General features: G+C 44.0%; 1 protein-coding gene across 4 annotated transcripts in view, besides 1 other annotated feature; it reads right to left on the bottom strand.

Annotated features, from left to right (window-relative positions):
- SLC1A4 (solute carrier family 1 member 4) overlaps positions 1–16,485 on the bottom strand; it is a 35,387-nt gene that overhangs the window by 3,716 nt on the left and 15,186 nt on the right. For 3 of the 4 annotated variants that reach the window (NM_001348406.2, NM_001348407.2, NM_003038.5), the window contains exons 3-7: positions 16,135–16,197; positions 9,387–9,553; positions 3,477–3,710; positions 1,885–2,079; positions 1,471–1,605 (exon numbers count right to left, since the gene is read on the bottom strand). In NM_001348406.2, the coding sequence (NP_001335335.1) occupies positions 1,471–1,605; positions 1,885–2,079; positions 3,477–3,710; positions 9,387–9,526 (704 nt within the window). In that variant the 5' untranslated portion in view covers positions 9,527–9,553; positions 16,135–16,197. The remainder of the gene's footprint in view (positions 1–1,470; positions 1,606–1,884; positions 2,080–3,476; positions 3,711–9,386; positions 9,554–16,134; positions 16,198–16,485) is intronic. The other variant, NM_001193493.2, reaches the window with a different exon arrangement.
- Positions 3,045–3,124: an enhancer, noted in NCBI's record as "active region_15923". NCBI's record gives its function as "activates an Ori minimal core promoter by ATAC-STARR-seq in GM12878 lymphoblastoid cells {active_cell/tissue: GM12878}" and the evidence as "EXISTENCE:reporter gene assay evidence [ECO:0000049][PMID:35858748]".

The following is a 16,485-nucleotide window of genomic DNA, read 5'->3' as shown; positions in this document are numbered from 1 at the left end:
TGTTAATCTTCATATGTGTTCCATTGCCATCGGCAAATATAAATACCATCTCAAAGAAAATATCACTATCCTTTCCAGAAGCTAGCTTGTTGTGTTATAGATTAGCCAATACCATTCCCCTGTCCCTGGAGCTCAGAGGAAGTATTGTGCACATTTTGAAGAGAGGGAAAAATGTGATCTTCCCTGAGGGCACTGGGGAGCTGACTCCCTGCAGAGTGCCGTCCTGCTGTCTGCAGAATCAGAGGGGATGGGGTGGCTGGCAGGCCTGTGTGACTTCAGGTCTCCACTGGGCAGCCGGCTTGGTGCCCTGTTTCCCTGTTCCTGGCCAAGCACCTCTTTGATGCCTCTTCTCCACGCACAGGAGGTGGCTGGGTGAGGAAGGAGAGGGGGCCTCTGTCAGCTCTGGTCCTGTCCAGCTGGCCAGCTCAGGGACGGAGTTCCCTCTGATGAGGTGTCTGCGCAATGCAGGTCTCTTTTGCAGATTTTACCCTCATTGCTCTGAGAAGCCCCTTCAAGTTGGAAAAACCACCATTCCCACCTGCAGCAGGCCAGTCCGTGAGCCCAGTGCCAGGCCCTGCCTGTGACGAACCTGGTCTGGAGTGTCTTTCTTTGCTGACATGAATTGAATGTTTTACCACGTGCTCATTATTCTGTGTGCTGTTCCCGTGCTAACTCGCTCAATCTTCCCCACAACCCTGGTGTGGGTGCTATGATCATTCCCATTTTACAGATGAGCAGACCAAAGCACACACAGTGCACATTACACAACTACTAGATGGCAAATCTGGGATTTCAATCCAGGCACCTGGGCTCCAGGGCTCATTTTCTTACCCACAGGCTCTACTGTCTCAACTTTAGTACCTCAGGCAGCCTTCCCTATAAAATAGATATTATTCATGCCTGCAAAAGGTATCATGTGACTCAAGGAATCCATGCACAGAAACTGTTTTGTGTCTTCACAGCAGCCCCAGAGATGTGGTCTGGATCACACCTTCTTCCCTACCTCCTCCTCTGCTGAGCCCAAGCCCAAGTCACTCACATCAGCATGGTTCATCCTCCCTCCCCTCACAGAAATCACTCCTTAGAATCTTCCAGGCCAGGGACAATCATTCCCAAAGGATCACTGCTCCATCGACTTATTACTCCTATGCAGTCAGCAACTCCATAGACCCTCGTGTCCCTTGGGCCTGCGCTGAGGGCCTCAGCTGTGGACCCCTGCTTTACTGGATGCTATAAGCAAGTTCTTGGTAATGACATCTCATGGTCATTCCTGGATGTTTGGGGGCATGTGACTCTCATATTGTTTAATTTTTCCTAGCTCTAAATCTTGCCCTTTTAGCTCCACTGTAGCCTCCTTCACAAGGCTGGAGTGTGTCTGAAGTTTCTCTGCATGGCCCAGGCCCAGCAGTGCTAAGCTCCTAGGGAACTCAGTGCAGACTCTTTTTGGTGTTCTCAGGACTTGTTACTTACACAATCCAGTCCACAGCCAGGATCAGAGGCAGGTCATGAGTAGGCAGCCCAATGGCCTCCAGGATAATGGCAATGGTGAGGACCCCTCCAGCTGGCACGCCTGCTGCTCCAACACTGGACGCTGTGGCAGTCACTCTAAGGGATGGCAGAGCAGGGCCAGCCATTAACATAGAGCGTGGAGTGGACACAGAGAAATGCAGACCATGCAGCTGCAATGTGGCTGGAAACTAAAAACCGCCCCACCATAGGCTCTGCTGGCTACGCCCTTGAGAGTCAACACACGCTCTTCAAGTAATGAATCCCCACTGTCCTCATTTTATGAGCGAGACACCAAGTTGTGGTGAGATTGGTTTTTCAAAGGAAATCACAAGAAAAGCCTTCAGTTTTGAGCCAGGGAAAGAATGAGGAACTTACAGAATGGTGAAAATCTGTCCTGCGTTGAGCTCTACGTTGTTGAGTTGCGCAATGAACACCGCGGCCACACACTGGAAGATGGCTGCTCCGTCCATGTTCACGGTGGCCCCGATGGGGAGAATAAACCTGCTGATCCTCTTGTCCACACCATTGTTCTCTTCAATGCACTTCATCATAGAGGGAAGGGTCGCTGAGCTAGAAATGGGAAAAACAAACCGCCAGACATGACAACAGTCCGAGGCAGGCTAACATGTGTCTTGTCTCAGACCCCAGAACAGAGCAATTAGCACCATCTTCGTTTCTGGCTTTCTTCTCTTGAAATAAGGGAAAAAACAGAATCACTTTAAAACTTCTGTCACAACATGAGGCTTTGGCAACTCCCAAGATACTTAAAATATGACTGCCTTCATTTACCTATTCTGTCATTTACTTGGATTCACGTGTTCCAAGTTTCTTAAGAACTGCACATTGCCTCCCGGTGCAAAACGTTCCCGAGAGAACAAACAACTAGTTTCTCTACATGTGCATCTCCTCTCTTGAGTGTTCCCCTCCCAAAAGTAAATGGTAAACTATGATTTTTTTTTCTTTTAGGCCAAAACCCAGAAATGGCTCTGTGAGCTTGGAAGAATAACTAAGTAGATAACCATAAGAACAGTACCTGCTCCCTCTAGCTGGCTCTGCGGGCTCTGCAGAGGTTAGTTGGTGCAGCTGAGAAACAGGTTTTTGTCTAGGCCAGAGGAACTTCCTTCCCTAATTTTTTTTTTTTTTTTACTCCCACCTCTGTGTTATATAAATAGCCATCCAGATTGGGAGGAAGTGAGCAGTAGAGGCAAAACTAAATGTGTGAATGAAACGACGTGCTGCCGTCCTTTGAAAGTTTTAACATATTTGGAAAACCCAGTGTTTTTTTTTTTTTTTAAGGTTTTCCAGTGAATGACAGGATGCATCTCTTGTGCCAAATGAGACAATCCCACACTATTGTGGACTCCTAGAGGGCTAAGCATCCATCCCTCACCACGGTGCCTCAGACTCGTTTTCTAATTCACATATCCAGAAAGGGAGAATTGGGCAGGAACCATTCTAGAAACTTCCCTGCAATGCATTTTTGAGTTAGGTGGGCTGCCTTCTTTTACTCAGGGAAAGGTCTTCCTAATTAGGGTGAGGGACCCGCAGCTGGGCTAACTAATGATCTGCTGACCTCTAAGGAGCAAGAGGGAGAAGAGAATGAGGTAACTTCAGTAGAATAGTAAATGAAACAGAAACCCACCCCAGGGGAATACAGAAAAGCTTTGGGGCTGGTCATTTTAAGAAATCATGTGAGGCTTGGTGTGGCTGTGCATGCCTGTAATCACAGCTATTCGGAAGGCCGAGGTGGGAGGATCACTTGAGCCCAGGAGTTCGAGACCAGCCTGGGCAATCACGGGAAGATCCTGTCTCTTAAAGAAGAAAAAACAAAAAAATAACAGAAGACCGATTTAGAGTTTTCCAGGAATTAAAGTATGTCAAGACACTGGTTGTGCATCTACCACTGGGCTCACCTGGTTCCATGTTAACATGGCTCAGAGCAGTGAAGAGACCCAAAACCCACTCACCTGGAGCAGGTAGCAAATGCTGTCGCAAATGGGGCGAGGAGGCCCAGGAGGAATCTGAATGGGTTTTTTCGTGTGAAAACAAAATAAATAAGTGGCAGAACAATTCCTCCATGAATAACATGGCCCAATATAGATGCGAAGATGTATTTCCCCAGGCTGGTCACCAGCACGATGATGTCTTTCATTTCCACGATCTTGCTTCCAACAAGGAACATGATGCCCACAGGTACGTACCTAGGGCACAAGCACAGGGTACTCATCAGTGGGGGATAAAGCTGGGGTGAGAGATGCAGGTCCTTCCTGAGGCAGAATGCAGGGACTTTCAGCCAGGCCGTCTTCATCTCTCCCTAGGATAACCCCGAGGAACCGAAACAGTCAGGGTTATACCATCCCCATTTTACAGCCTGTGAGACTGGGTAAAATGAGGCTGACCACTCACCAAGGGTAACAGAGTCAGGACCAGAACCCAGACGTCTTTCCCCTTGGATACAGTATGTCCTTAACAGAAGGATGCTACCAGTCACAGGGATTCCCAGGAGGAAAGGCAAGGAAATCGAGATCAAAGCCTCCAGGACTGTAAGCCTGACTTTTGGCTTTGCTCAGGCTTGTTCTGAGAACTTAGAAACACAAAAGACTAACACCTATTTCACAGAGTGGCTGTGATAGAAAATTGAGCCAAAGCTAGGACTTTTGTGAAGTTTTAAATTCTTTGTGGCTTAGACAACATGATTCCGTGGGAAAAAGTCATTAACAATGACACTCTGGGAACACGCCTGGAGCGTGAGAGTTTTTTAAAGGCAGGATGGGAAGGAATGGACTGTGGGAGCTACAAAGAACAAAAGTCAGTTGTTTTGAATTAATATAAATTCAGGAAGAATTTTCTAACTGCTGACTTTATTTGTAAATTTTAATTGCGTAGGTAATAATGTCACATAGTTCAAATTTCAAGGGGTACAAAAGAGTGAACAGAGTGAAGTCTCCCTCTCATCTCTCTCCCAAGCACCCAGATTTCCCCTCCCTGGAGACAATGTCACTGGTTTCTTGAGTTTTCTTTCTAGAGATATTCTAAGCAGTAATTATTAATTAAAAACCCGATAGTAATACATGAATACATTCTCCTTTCAAAAAATTAAAACGTAGATGACACCAAAATCCTCTTTAAGTACCATCCTTAAGCCAGGATCCTCCTCAAATAGACACTCCTACCTCCTATGCAATTAGATACATAGGTATGTATTTAAATCTATGTGTTTTTTTCTTTTTCACCCTATATTACATCTTTGAAATCTTTTCATATCAATACATAGAAATCTACCCCATTCATTTTTTAATGTGGTAAAATATACATAAAATTTACCATCTTAACCATTTTTAAGTGTAGAGTTCAGTGGCATGAAGTTCATTCACATTCTTGTGCAACTATCATCACTATCCAAATCCAGAACTTTTCCATCATCCCAAACTTTGAAATCATTAAACATAACAGCCTACTTTCCCCTCCTCACAGTTCCTGAGAATCACTGTTCTACTTCTTGTCTCTCTGAATTTGACTATTCTAGGTACACAAAGGTGGAATCATACAGTGTTTGTCCTTTTGTGTCTAGGTTATTCCACTTATGATGTCTTCGGGCTTCATCCACATTGGAGCATGAGCTAGAATTGTACTCCTTTCTAAGGCTGAATAATATTCTGTTGTATGTCTCTATCTCATTTTGTTTATCCATTCATCCAATGATGGACATTTGGGTTGTTTCCACCTTTACCTCATTGTCTTTAAATATTATCTTCAGAATGGAAATACCATAGGTTATTTTGTCATCGTCCTGTTGGTGGATGTTTAAGTTGTTCCCAGGTTTATCGTTACAAACGACACTGCAAACATACTTTGTGGTAACCACATGCCTTTGTTCTCTAGGTAGAGATGCTAAGAAGTGAACTGCTAAGTTATAGGATGTGCATATTTTAAATTTCAGTAGATACTGCCACTTTGTTCTCCAAAGTGGTTATTCCATATCACATTCCCACCAGCAGTCCAGGAGAATAATCTTCCCTCTGCAACAGTGGTTCTTATCCAGGGATGATTTTGTCTGGAAGACAGTTTGGTTGTCATAACTTTTGGGGCATGGTGCTAGTGGCATCATGCAGGTGGGGGCCAGGATGGTGCTAAACATCCTACAGTCATGAGACAGCCTCCCACAAAGACTGATCAGCCCAAAATGTCAATAGTGTCATGGTTGAGAAACCTCACCCTCACCATTATCAATGCCTGATAAAACCAAATTTTCATTTCCCTTATTTCTAATGAGGTTGAGCATCCCTTAAAATGTTTACTGGTAATTCAGGTTTCACATACTTTGTCTATTTTCTGATGGTTTGTTCAGTGATTTTTCTTTTTCAGTAATCAGAACTCTTTTTTTCTATATATGCAGTATGCAAATATATATATCAATTTTTAGAAATGAATGTCTTGACTTTTAACTTTGTTCAAAGTATCTTTTGCATGCAGACTTTTTATATTTTGATGTGGTTAAGTTTAGCAGCTTTTTATGGCTTTTGCTTTTTATATCTTGTTTAGGAAGGCTTTCCCTGCCTCTATATTTTCTTCTAATATTTTTAGAAGACTCCTCTCTTTCTTTCCTTCTTTTCTTCCTTTCTCCCTGGTCAGTTTAATCCAGGAGTTAGCAGCGTGAGTTTTTGTAAATAAAGTTTTGTTGGAACACAGTCATGCTCTTTCATTTACAAATTGTGAATAGGTACTTTTCTCCTACAGTGGCAGAGTTGGGTAGTTGCAATAGAGAGCATGTGGCTTGCAAAGTTGGCTGACTCTGGGTTTAATACATCTGAAAGTTATTTCTGTGAATAGTGTAGGGTAGGCAGGTACTAGGGTTTTGGAGTGGGTAGTTAGTAAAAGAAAGATTGCAGAAAGCGGTAATACTGACAATGCCTCCCATACTTGGTTGAGATCCCTTAACTAGTTAAGGCATTTTAAACTTCAATTCTGTGTAATATGCATTTCTGAGCAACAGGTCTCTCGCTCTCTTGCTGCAGTTAGACATTCAGCAGGATCTGCCTTACTGAATACCTGCTTATGTGACTGGTACATCAAATTGAAGGAATGACTAAACTGGTTTCCAGATTAAAAGCAAATGTCCGGCCGGGCGCTATGGCTCATGCCTGTAATCCTAGCACTTTGGGAGGCCAAGGTGGGCGGATCACCTGAGGTCGGGAGTTTGGGACCAGCCTGACCAACATGGAGAAACCCTGTCTCTACTAAAAATACAAAATTAGCTGGACGTGGTGGCGCATGCCTGTAATCCCAGCTTCTCGGGAGGCTGAGGCAGGAGAATCGCTTGAACCTGGGAGGCGGAGGTTGCGGTGAGCCAAAATTGTGCCACTGCACTGCAGCCTGGGCAACAAGAGTGAAACTCCGTCTCAAAAACAAACAAAACAAAACAAAATGCAAATGTCCTAACATGGACGTATCAGTGATATGGTTTGGATTTATGTCCTCACCCAAATCTCATATTGAATTGTAATCCCCCACCTTCCCCCTGTCTTTCTTCCTCCTGCTCTGGCCATGTGAAGACATGCCTGCTTCCCCTTCACCTTCTGCCATGCTTGTAAGTTTCCTGAGGCCTTCCCAGCCATGCTTCCTGTATAGCCTGTAGAACTGTGAGCCAATTAAACCTCTCTTCATTATAAATTACCCAGTTTCAGGTATTTCTTCATAGCAGTGTGAGAACGGACTAATACAATCAGTTTTTTTACTTTTAAATTTAATTTAATTGTTTATATTTTGTAGAGATAGGGCCTCACTTTTTTGCCCAGGCTGGTCTTGAACTCCTGAGCTCAAGCAATACTCTGGCCTTGGCCTCCCAAAGTGCCGGGATTACAGGCATGAGCCACTGCGCCTGCCCCAATTTCTTTTTTTTAGTCTAAACTTTGGAAAATATTAATATTTTAGACTTAACAAAAGCCAAGAAAAGAACTTGACATCTAAATACCTTTTCTTTTCTGAAAATATCAGTTCTCTCCCTAGAACAACAATCACATGAAATGGCATTGGCAGTGATAGAGTCAGGCTCTGGAATTTTCAGATTGAAGAAGAGAAATATCACTGGTAGGGGGTCTAAACTTAGCCTCCCATTCAATTTCAAACTTCTAAAATCAGTCCAGCTGTCATCCAGCACTACCTGAGAGAGAGAAGTTCTGGGATCTTTCAGGGTTGAAAATAAGGAAAATGCTTTGTGCATGGAAGGAGAAACTAGTTCTTAACAATTAAGTAGGCTGGGCGCGGTGGCTCATGCCTGTAATCCCAGCACTTTGGGAGGCTGAGGCGGGCAGATCACGAGGTCAGGAGATGGAGACCATCGTGGCTAACACGGTGAAACCCTGTCTCTACTAAAAATACAAAAAATTAGCTGGGCGTGGTGGCGGTCATCTGTAATCCCAGCTACTCAGGAGGCTGAGGCAGGAGAATGGCTTGAACCCGGGAGGTGGAGCTTGCAGTGAGCCGAGATTGCACCACTGCACTCCAGCCTGGGTGACAGAGCAAGACCCTGTCTCAAGAAAACAAAAAAACAAAACAAAAAAACAAGTAGAAGCGGCTGGGTGCAGTGGCTCATGCCTGTAATCTCAGCACTTTGGGAGGCTGAGGCAGGCGGATCGCCTGAGGTCAGGAGTTAGAGACCAGCCTGGCCAACATGGTGAAACCCTGTCTCTACTAAAAATACAAAAATTAGCCGGGCATGGTGGCCGGTGCCTGTAATCCCAGCTACTCGGGAGGCTGAGGCAGGAGAATTGCTTGAACCCAGGAGGCGGAGGTTGTAGTGAACCGAGATCACATCACTGCACTCTAGCCTGGGCAACAGAGAGAGGCTCCGTCTCAAAGAAAAACATTAGGTAGAAGCCACAGAGGTCTGGTTTGGGTAAAACAGCAGGATAAAGCTTATGAGAGATTGATACTGGAATTGGTATGATTTTGGAGTGAGGGAGCTGGTCAAATTTTTACCTTTTAGCAAATAATCTAAGAATTGTTACTTAACAATCATGCTTTCATTGATATCACACAAAGAAACATTTACAAATTAAAAGCCTACATAAAAGGGCCAGGCGCAGTGGCTCACACCTGTAATTCCAGCAGTTTGGGAGGCTGAGGCAGGTAGATCACCTGAGGTCAGGAGTTTGAGACCAGCTTGGCCAACATGGTGAAACCCCGTCTCTACTAAAAAAAAAAAAAATTAGCTGGGTATGGTGGCGGACGCCTGTAATCCCAGCTTCTCGGGAGGCTGAGGCAGGAGAATCACTTGAACCCAGAAGGTAGAGGTTGCAGGGAGCCGAGATCGCGCCGCTGTACTCCATCCTGGGCAATAAGAGCAAAACTCTGTTTCAGAAAAAAAGCCTACATAAAAGAAGAGCATTCCAACTTTATATATGCATGGGGTGAAAATGGACTTGTCCTTGTCCTCTATGCTGTGAACTACTATAGTAAAGGGTCCCTTTGAAGCTTCAAGTCTATCATTTTCAGATAAATGAACCTTATTTCATGCAACAGATAGCAAACTAATGGAATTCACTTTCCCACAAGATGACATGGGCAACCCACATGAACTGGGTGGTGGTAGGAACCCATAAACAGATCCCGGTGATGGAAACACCAAGGGGTCAGTGTGGACACTGAGGAAGTGACTGGTAAGTGTGGTGCATGCCTGGCTCTCTGAGGTCCTGGACAAGAGGAGAAACTGTCTCCACTTCCATCATCCCCTGTACCAAGCCTGGCTCATGGTGCATCAACCACATACACAGCATTGTGCCAGGTGGCCCCACACAGGTACCTAGAACAGCAAGGTGGACTCTTTTCTGGATGGCAGGAGGAAGGAGAGAGAGAGTAGGCAGCAAAGCAGCACTCACCACATAATCCAGGACACCAGCACCATCGTCGCCTCGTTGAGGGAATTGAAGAAACGGATGAGGTCTTCTCCTTCGGAGCCTAGTTTCTTTAAGGCCACTCCTAACACCAGAGCAAACAGGACCAATCCTAAAATGTTCATCCCTTCTATCTCAGTGCCTATGGGGATCTGCAGGATCAGAGAGGATAGAACAAGTTTACAACAGATGAGTGAGAATTAAAGATGTATTTGCTTGGTGTCCCCACCAGACTGAAACACTGTACCCAGAACGAGAAAAAGCTCATATTTTCTTTAACAATTAGCAATTCTGCAAATAAAGGGGTAGGAAACTTAAGGGGAGATGTAGTCTGAGGATACAGAAAGCCAACAAGCAAAAATTTCTTCTAGTTAACTCTGAAAGCTGCCCAAAATGGCATAGGTTAAAGTGGAAGGTAGTGGGCTCCCTGTCATGGGGATATATTCAAGTAGGGGTTGGACAGCCACCTCAAAGGGCTGCTTTTAAAAGAAGAGCTGGTTAGTCAAAAGTTCCTTCAGGCTGGTCGCGGTGGCTCACACCTGTAATCCCAGCACTTTGGGAGGCCAAGGCGAGTGGATCACCTGAAGTCACGAGTTTGAGACCAGCCTGACCAACATGGTGAAACCCTGTCTATACTAAAAACACAAAAATTAGCTGGGCATGGTGGCAGGTGCCTGTAATCCCAGCTACTTGGGAGGCTGAGGCAGGAGAATCACTTGAACCCAGGAGGCAGAGGTTGCAGTGAGCTGAGATCATGCCATTGCACTCCAGCCTGGGCGACAGAGCGAGACTCCGGCTCAAAAAAAAAAAAAAATTTCCTTCAGATAACAAATCAGTGACTGTAACTTTGACTCCTAAATATCCACAGAGTTTTGTTGTGAGGCTCTTACAGTGACCTCCTAGCCGACAAACTTCACAGAAGATTTTCACGATCAACATGGACTTTTTCAGGATACTCTTTCCCAAATCACTGACTTAAAATGCATAGACATACTGTATTCTTAATTTTTTCCAGCAATGCTGAATCTCCTTACTGCAAGCATATATTAGACAAACATTTTATCCCACCAACACATATTATGAAATAATCGTTGGTGTTCCCTAGCCCTTGCAGCTTGAGCGCAAAGGCTGGGCCCTAGCCCAAGTGTCTGGCAAATGATAGGTACTCAAAATCATCACAAATTTCTTTCTAAATACTTTTCTAATTTCCAAATTAACTGGAGACATGTAGGTGGCTGGTGTGATTCACATGAAATGTACCAAAAGCCATGGATTCATATATATCATAAAAATTGTGATGGAGTAGCTTTTCATTTCCTTCCAACTTTTCTTTTTCTTTTCTTTCTTTCTTTCTTTTCTTTTTTTTTTTCTTTTTGAGACAGAGTTTCGCTCTTGTTCCCCAGGCTGGAGTGCAATGGGGTGATCTCAGCTCACCACAACCTCCACCTCCTGGGTTCAAGTGATTCTCCTGCCTCAGCCTCCCAAGTACCTGGGATTACAGGCATGCGCCACCATGCCCAGCTAATTTTGTATTTTTAGTAGAGAAGGGGTTTCTCCATGTGGGTTTCTCCATGTTGGTCAGGCTGGTCTGGAACTCCCGACCTCAGGTGATCTGCCCGCCTCAGCACTTCCAAAGTGCTGAGTTTACAGGCGTGAGCCACCACACCTGGCCTTTCTTCCAACTTTTCATTGTGAGGACAATGATCACCGTATAGGGCGCTTTTGTTTATGTTGATAGATATCACTTATAGAGGAGCAGCGGCAATAGTAATTAAGGAGCATTGGCTTTGGAGCCTGACTTTCACTACTTCCTAGTTGTGGGAGTCTAGGTAAGTTACTTAACGTCTTTGTGACTCAGTTCCCCATTTATAAAATGGAGATAGTCACAATAGCTAATATGTAAAGTTGCTATGAAGATTAAATATGTTAATATATGTAAAGTACTTAGACTGTGTCAGGCAAATGAAAACCAACAAGAACTATTATTATATTAATGGAATATCTTGGAGATCATTCTAGGCTCACTCTGTCTGGAGTGTCTTCCTCTTAAAATGTTATTTTAATTCCATAGACAATAAGACGACTGTTTTTATTTATTTATTTTTTTGGAGACAGGGTTATACCCTGTCATCCAGGCTGAAGTGCAGTGGCGTGAACACGGCTCACTGCAGCCTTGATCTCCAGGGTCTAAGCAATCCTCTTACCTCAGCCTCCTGAGTAGCTGGGACTACAAGCATGTGCCACCATGCCAGGCTAGGTTTATTTATTTATTTTGTAGAGATGGGATCTCCCTAAATTGCCCAAACCGGTCTCAAACTCCTGGGCTTAAGTGATTCTCCCAATTCAGTCTCTCAAAGTGTTATTATTACAGGTGTGAGCCACTGCACCTGGCCAAGACTTCTGACTGTCACTACTCTCTCCTGGGACTTGACTTATTGAAGCTGGGTGCGGTGGGTATAGCTGAAAGCTGGGGGAGAGAGATGATTTGGGGGATTTATTGCTGGCTCTGCTACTGGCCTACTAGGATTCTATGAGCTGGATGGCTAACAACTGGTGATGACCTTGGGGCTGTCAACTCACGCTTTTTGATAATGTCCCAAGTCCTAACTGGAATTAAGGGTCAAGATTCAATTAAACCAGAAAATTCAATTACTATTTGAAAGTTGGTTTTAATATCACATGTTCTCATATGTGGGAGCTAAAAAAGTGGATCTCATGAAGACAAAGAGTAGATTGGTGGTTACGAGAGGCCAGGAGGTGTAGGGGGGAAAGGGGACAAAGAGAAGTTGATTAATGGATACAAATGTACAGGTTGATAGAAGAAATACACTTAGTGTTTGATAGTTCAGTAGGGTGACTATATTTTACAATAATTTACTGTACATTTCAAAATAGCTAGAATAATTGTAATATTTCTACCACAAAGAAAAGACAAATGTTTAAGGTGATGGACATCCCAAGTACACTGATTTGATCTTTGCAAATTATATTAATGTATTACATTATCACATGTACCCCCAAACTATGCACATTTATTATTCAATTTCTTAAATCAGTAAGAAAATTGTTTTAACAATTAAGAGAGCTGGTTTTAGCAGGTCTGCAATTCTAAAGTGTGGTGTTTGAGGTCAGGCAGTTCCAGCTTTCGAACCAACTCTCAGATTTGAGGACAATTACAATAATTTTTCCAATGAAATGACTCCCTTTCTGTAGAGGAGGCTGGTGGCAGGTGGGTTTGGAGCAAGGTATGCTGGCTGCACACCTAGGCAGACTTAGCATTGAATGGGGCTAGGGGACTACAAGCAACCAGAGTTGCATCCTGGCCAGTCTCCCTGGGATTTTGCAGATTCTGTTCCTGCTGCCTACATCACTTTTCCCCCACATCTCCCCATAGCTCCTCCCTCACCTGATCAGAAGACCTCCCTGGCCACCCTGCTAAAATAGTACCCATCACCACAGACACACACACACACACACAAACACACTCTTCCTATCTATTTGCCCTGCTTTAATGTTCTTCTTGGTGCCTATCACTGGCTGACATATACTTATTTATTACATGATTCCCTCCACTAGAACATGAGCTTTGTAAGAGCAGGGCTTTGACTGTATTGAGCACTACTGGAGTCCAGCACCTGGGAAGGGCACCTGGCTGTTGCCAAATAAATCATTGTTTAATGAATTAATGATTCAACTAAAGCCTAGGAGGAGTGTGTCTGTGGCAAGTTATTACGTGGGATCAAAGTGGCCATGGAAGATAGAGCCACGGGTCAGAGGCACCCTTCCAAGTGTCCTTGAGCCTCTGGGTCCTTGATTGATTTAATTCTTTTTAGAGACAAAGTCTCCCTCTGTTGCTGTCTAGAGTACAGTAATCTTAAACTCCTTGGCTCAAGGGATCCTCCTACTTCAGCCTCCCAAGTAGCTGGTACTACAGGCACACGCCACCATACTTGGCTAGTATAGAAAAAAAACTTTTTTTTAGATACGTATCTATGTTGCCCAGGCTGGTCTCAAATTTCTGGCTTCAAGCAATCCTCCCACCTCAGCCTTCTGAGTCATTGAGATTACAAGCGTGAGTCACCATGCCTGGCTAGGTCCTTGACTTTTCATTCTGTCACCAATATCCCAACCTTGGGGACAAGGCCCACACCTGCTATGCCTTTACACAGTCTTCTCGCCACAGGGTTTAGGAAAGCCTGGAACCAGCGAGGACACACTGCTCCTCTTTCTTTCTTTTTTTCTTTTATTTATTTTTTTGAGACAGAGTCTCGCTCTGTTGCCCAGGCTGGAGTGCAGTGGCAGAATCTCAGCTCACTGCAACCTCCACATCCTGTGTTCAAGTGATTCTCCTGCCTCAGCCTCCCAAGTAGCTGGGATTACAGGTGCCCACCACCATGCCTGGCTAATTTTTATATTCTTAGTAGAGACGGAGTTTCACCATGTTGGCCAGGCTGGTCTGGAACTCCTGACTTCAGGTGATCTGCCTGCCTTGGCCTCCCAAAGTGCTGGGATTACAGGTGTGAACCACTGCACCAGCCTCTTTCTTAAAGCCTGACTCCTTAAATGCCTGGGTGAAATTTACAGTGAAGGCAAGTGTATGTCAGCTGAGGTGGATGCTCACAGGTAACCAGTATTTCCAGTGGAGAAGTCACAGCAGCCATATTTGCCAAAACTTAAAGTTATTGAAGAGACAATTAGTGTTCTAGCATTTACTCATCACTCTTGGTTTCTTTCTATTTATTTATTTAGACATAATTTTGCTCTGTTGCCCAGGCTGGAGTGCAGTGGCACGATCATGACTCACTGCAGCATTGACCTCCCAGGGTCAAGCAATCCTCCTACCTTGGCCTCCCAAGTAGCTGAGACTATGGACATGTGCCACCATGCCTGGCTAACTTTTATTTAATTTTAATTTTTTGTAGTGATGGGGTCTTGCTCTGTTGCCCAGGCTGGTCATGAACTCCTGGGCTCAAGAAGTCCTCCCTTCTTGGCCTCCCAAAGTGCTTGGATTATAGGCGTAAGCCACTGCACCTGGGCAACAATTAGTTTTTTTTAAACTGGTCAAAATGGCCTTGATCAACCTTGGAAGACCATCATTTCAAGTAATTTATAGTGGGGGTACTAAATCCTACCTGATCAGGTTGTCCTAAGGCTCAAATGAAATAACGTCGGAAAGTGTCTGTGCCAAGAGGGTGGCATGCAGAAGTGAGCCACTTACCTGGAAAGCAGGCCTAGCTGACACCCACATCCCAGTGAGCCCAGCTGTGGAATCCAGGGCCTGTCAGAAGGGGCCCAGTTGGACGTCCAGCCACGTCCTCTGGCCAGACAGAGTGAAGTGACCTCCATTTTTTAAAATCAGGAGCCACTGACTGGATTCACATTTATGAACAGGGGGATATCATTCACTAGGGGACTGTTGGAATGTGTGTGGGCACTTTGGTTGTCATAATGATTGTGGTGTCTTACTGGGAAATAGTAGGCAGGGTACTAAGAATGCCATCCGTTCTGAAATGTTCAGGCAACCAAATGCAGACTTTCCTACATCCCCCAGGCCTCAGAGCATCCTATCAGACAGTCATATAGGGAGAAAAAGCTGTTTAAAATGCACTGAGCTAGGATTAACTCCATTTTACCCATAAATATTTTTTCTGCATAGTTTTAGTATTCACTGGATTTTCCAAGAATATCAAGTGGATGTAAACTGAAGGAAGACTTTATTTTGTTCCGAACTTCAACAAGTGTTATTTGCCATTTTAGAATAATATCCAGGTCACTAGTATGAGACATAATGTTGGTCTGCACTTGTAGCTGTTGCGTTTGGGGTAATTCTGTATACATATACAAAAATCTTTATTTAGCATGTATTTCAAAATGTGCAGAAAAATAGCAAAAAATGTGCCTATAATATTTAGTTGACTTCTATCTCACTGCTTTTAAATCTCAATTTATTTATTCTAAGTAAATGCAAGTATCTGTAAACTTCATTATGGCTTCTAGTAGAGTTGTATATTTACATGGTAAAATATGGATTATTTTATTAGAAATTATTTTTATTTCTCCCTTATATTGATTTTTTTAAAATGTAATAGGTATAGGGGTAGTTTAAATCACTTATTAATTACATTTCTAGATGGCAGAAAAGGTTTTATAAAATGTTTTCTGGGGCCAGGCACAGGCTCACACTTACAATCCCAGCACTTTGGGAGGCAAAGGTGGGAGGATTATGTGAAGCCAGGAGTTCAAGGCTAGCCTTGACAACATGGTGAAACTCTTGTCTCTACAAAACATAAAAAATAAATAAATAAATAAATAAATAAATAAATAATAAAATATTAGCCGAGCATGGTGGCACATGTCTGTAGTCCCAGCTACTCGGGAGACTGAGGCAGGAGAATCACTTGAGGCCAAGAGTTCAGTTCAGTGAGCCATGATCACACCACTGCACTCCAGCCTGGGCAACAGAGCGAGACCCTGTTTCAAACAAACAAACAAACAACAAATAAATCAACAAACAAAATGTTTTACGGATCCTCTGAGGATTGTAGTGCTTTGAGAGCAACATGGTATTTGGCCATGGTATTTGGCCATAACCAAAGGAGCAAACCTAACCTGTTCGCTCCAATAGCCCATTCAAACCTCAAAGTTTTCAGCCCACGTCCTGTATGCTCCTTCAAAGAAGAAATAAGATTTGTTTTAGACATATTTTTACAAGTGACCTTATAAAAAGCTTTACCTTTTCATGGGTTACATTTCCAGAGCTGCTGTTCTGGGTCACGACTTTATAATCGGTTGCATACTGTGATCAAGAGGAAAAAAAAACCCACTGTTAGTGCACAGGTGAAGACCGACCTAGAGGAACCAAGGGCACTGCTGCACTCTTGGTACTTCTGTCACTGTTCACACTGAGTGTCCTGGGCATTCCTCACTTGGCTGGCCTGACAAAAGCCTCTGAGAACTGTGAAAAAGCTACATTAGGACCAAGTCAGCAGATACTTCAAGAGGTCTCTGGGTTGCTTAGTGTCCCAAGGAAACAGGGAGAATTTCCTTATGTTCTTTGGGCAATGGTTTGGAGAAGGACGGCTGC

The sequence above is a fragment of the Homo sapiens genome, chromosome 2 (genome assembly GCF_000001405.40).
Source record: "Homo sapiens chromosome 2, GRCh38.p14 Primary Assembly".
Classification (NCBI taxonomy): Eukaryota; Metazoa; Chordata; class Mammalia; order Primates; family Hominidae; genus Homo; species Homo sapiens.
Note: the sequence above shows the minus strand (reverse complement) of the source record. Positions and strands in the feature narration are given on the sequence as shown.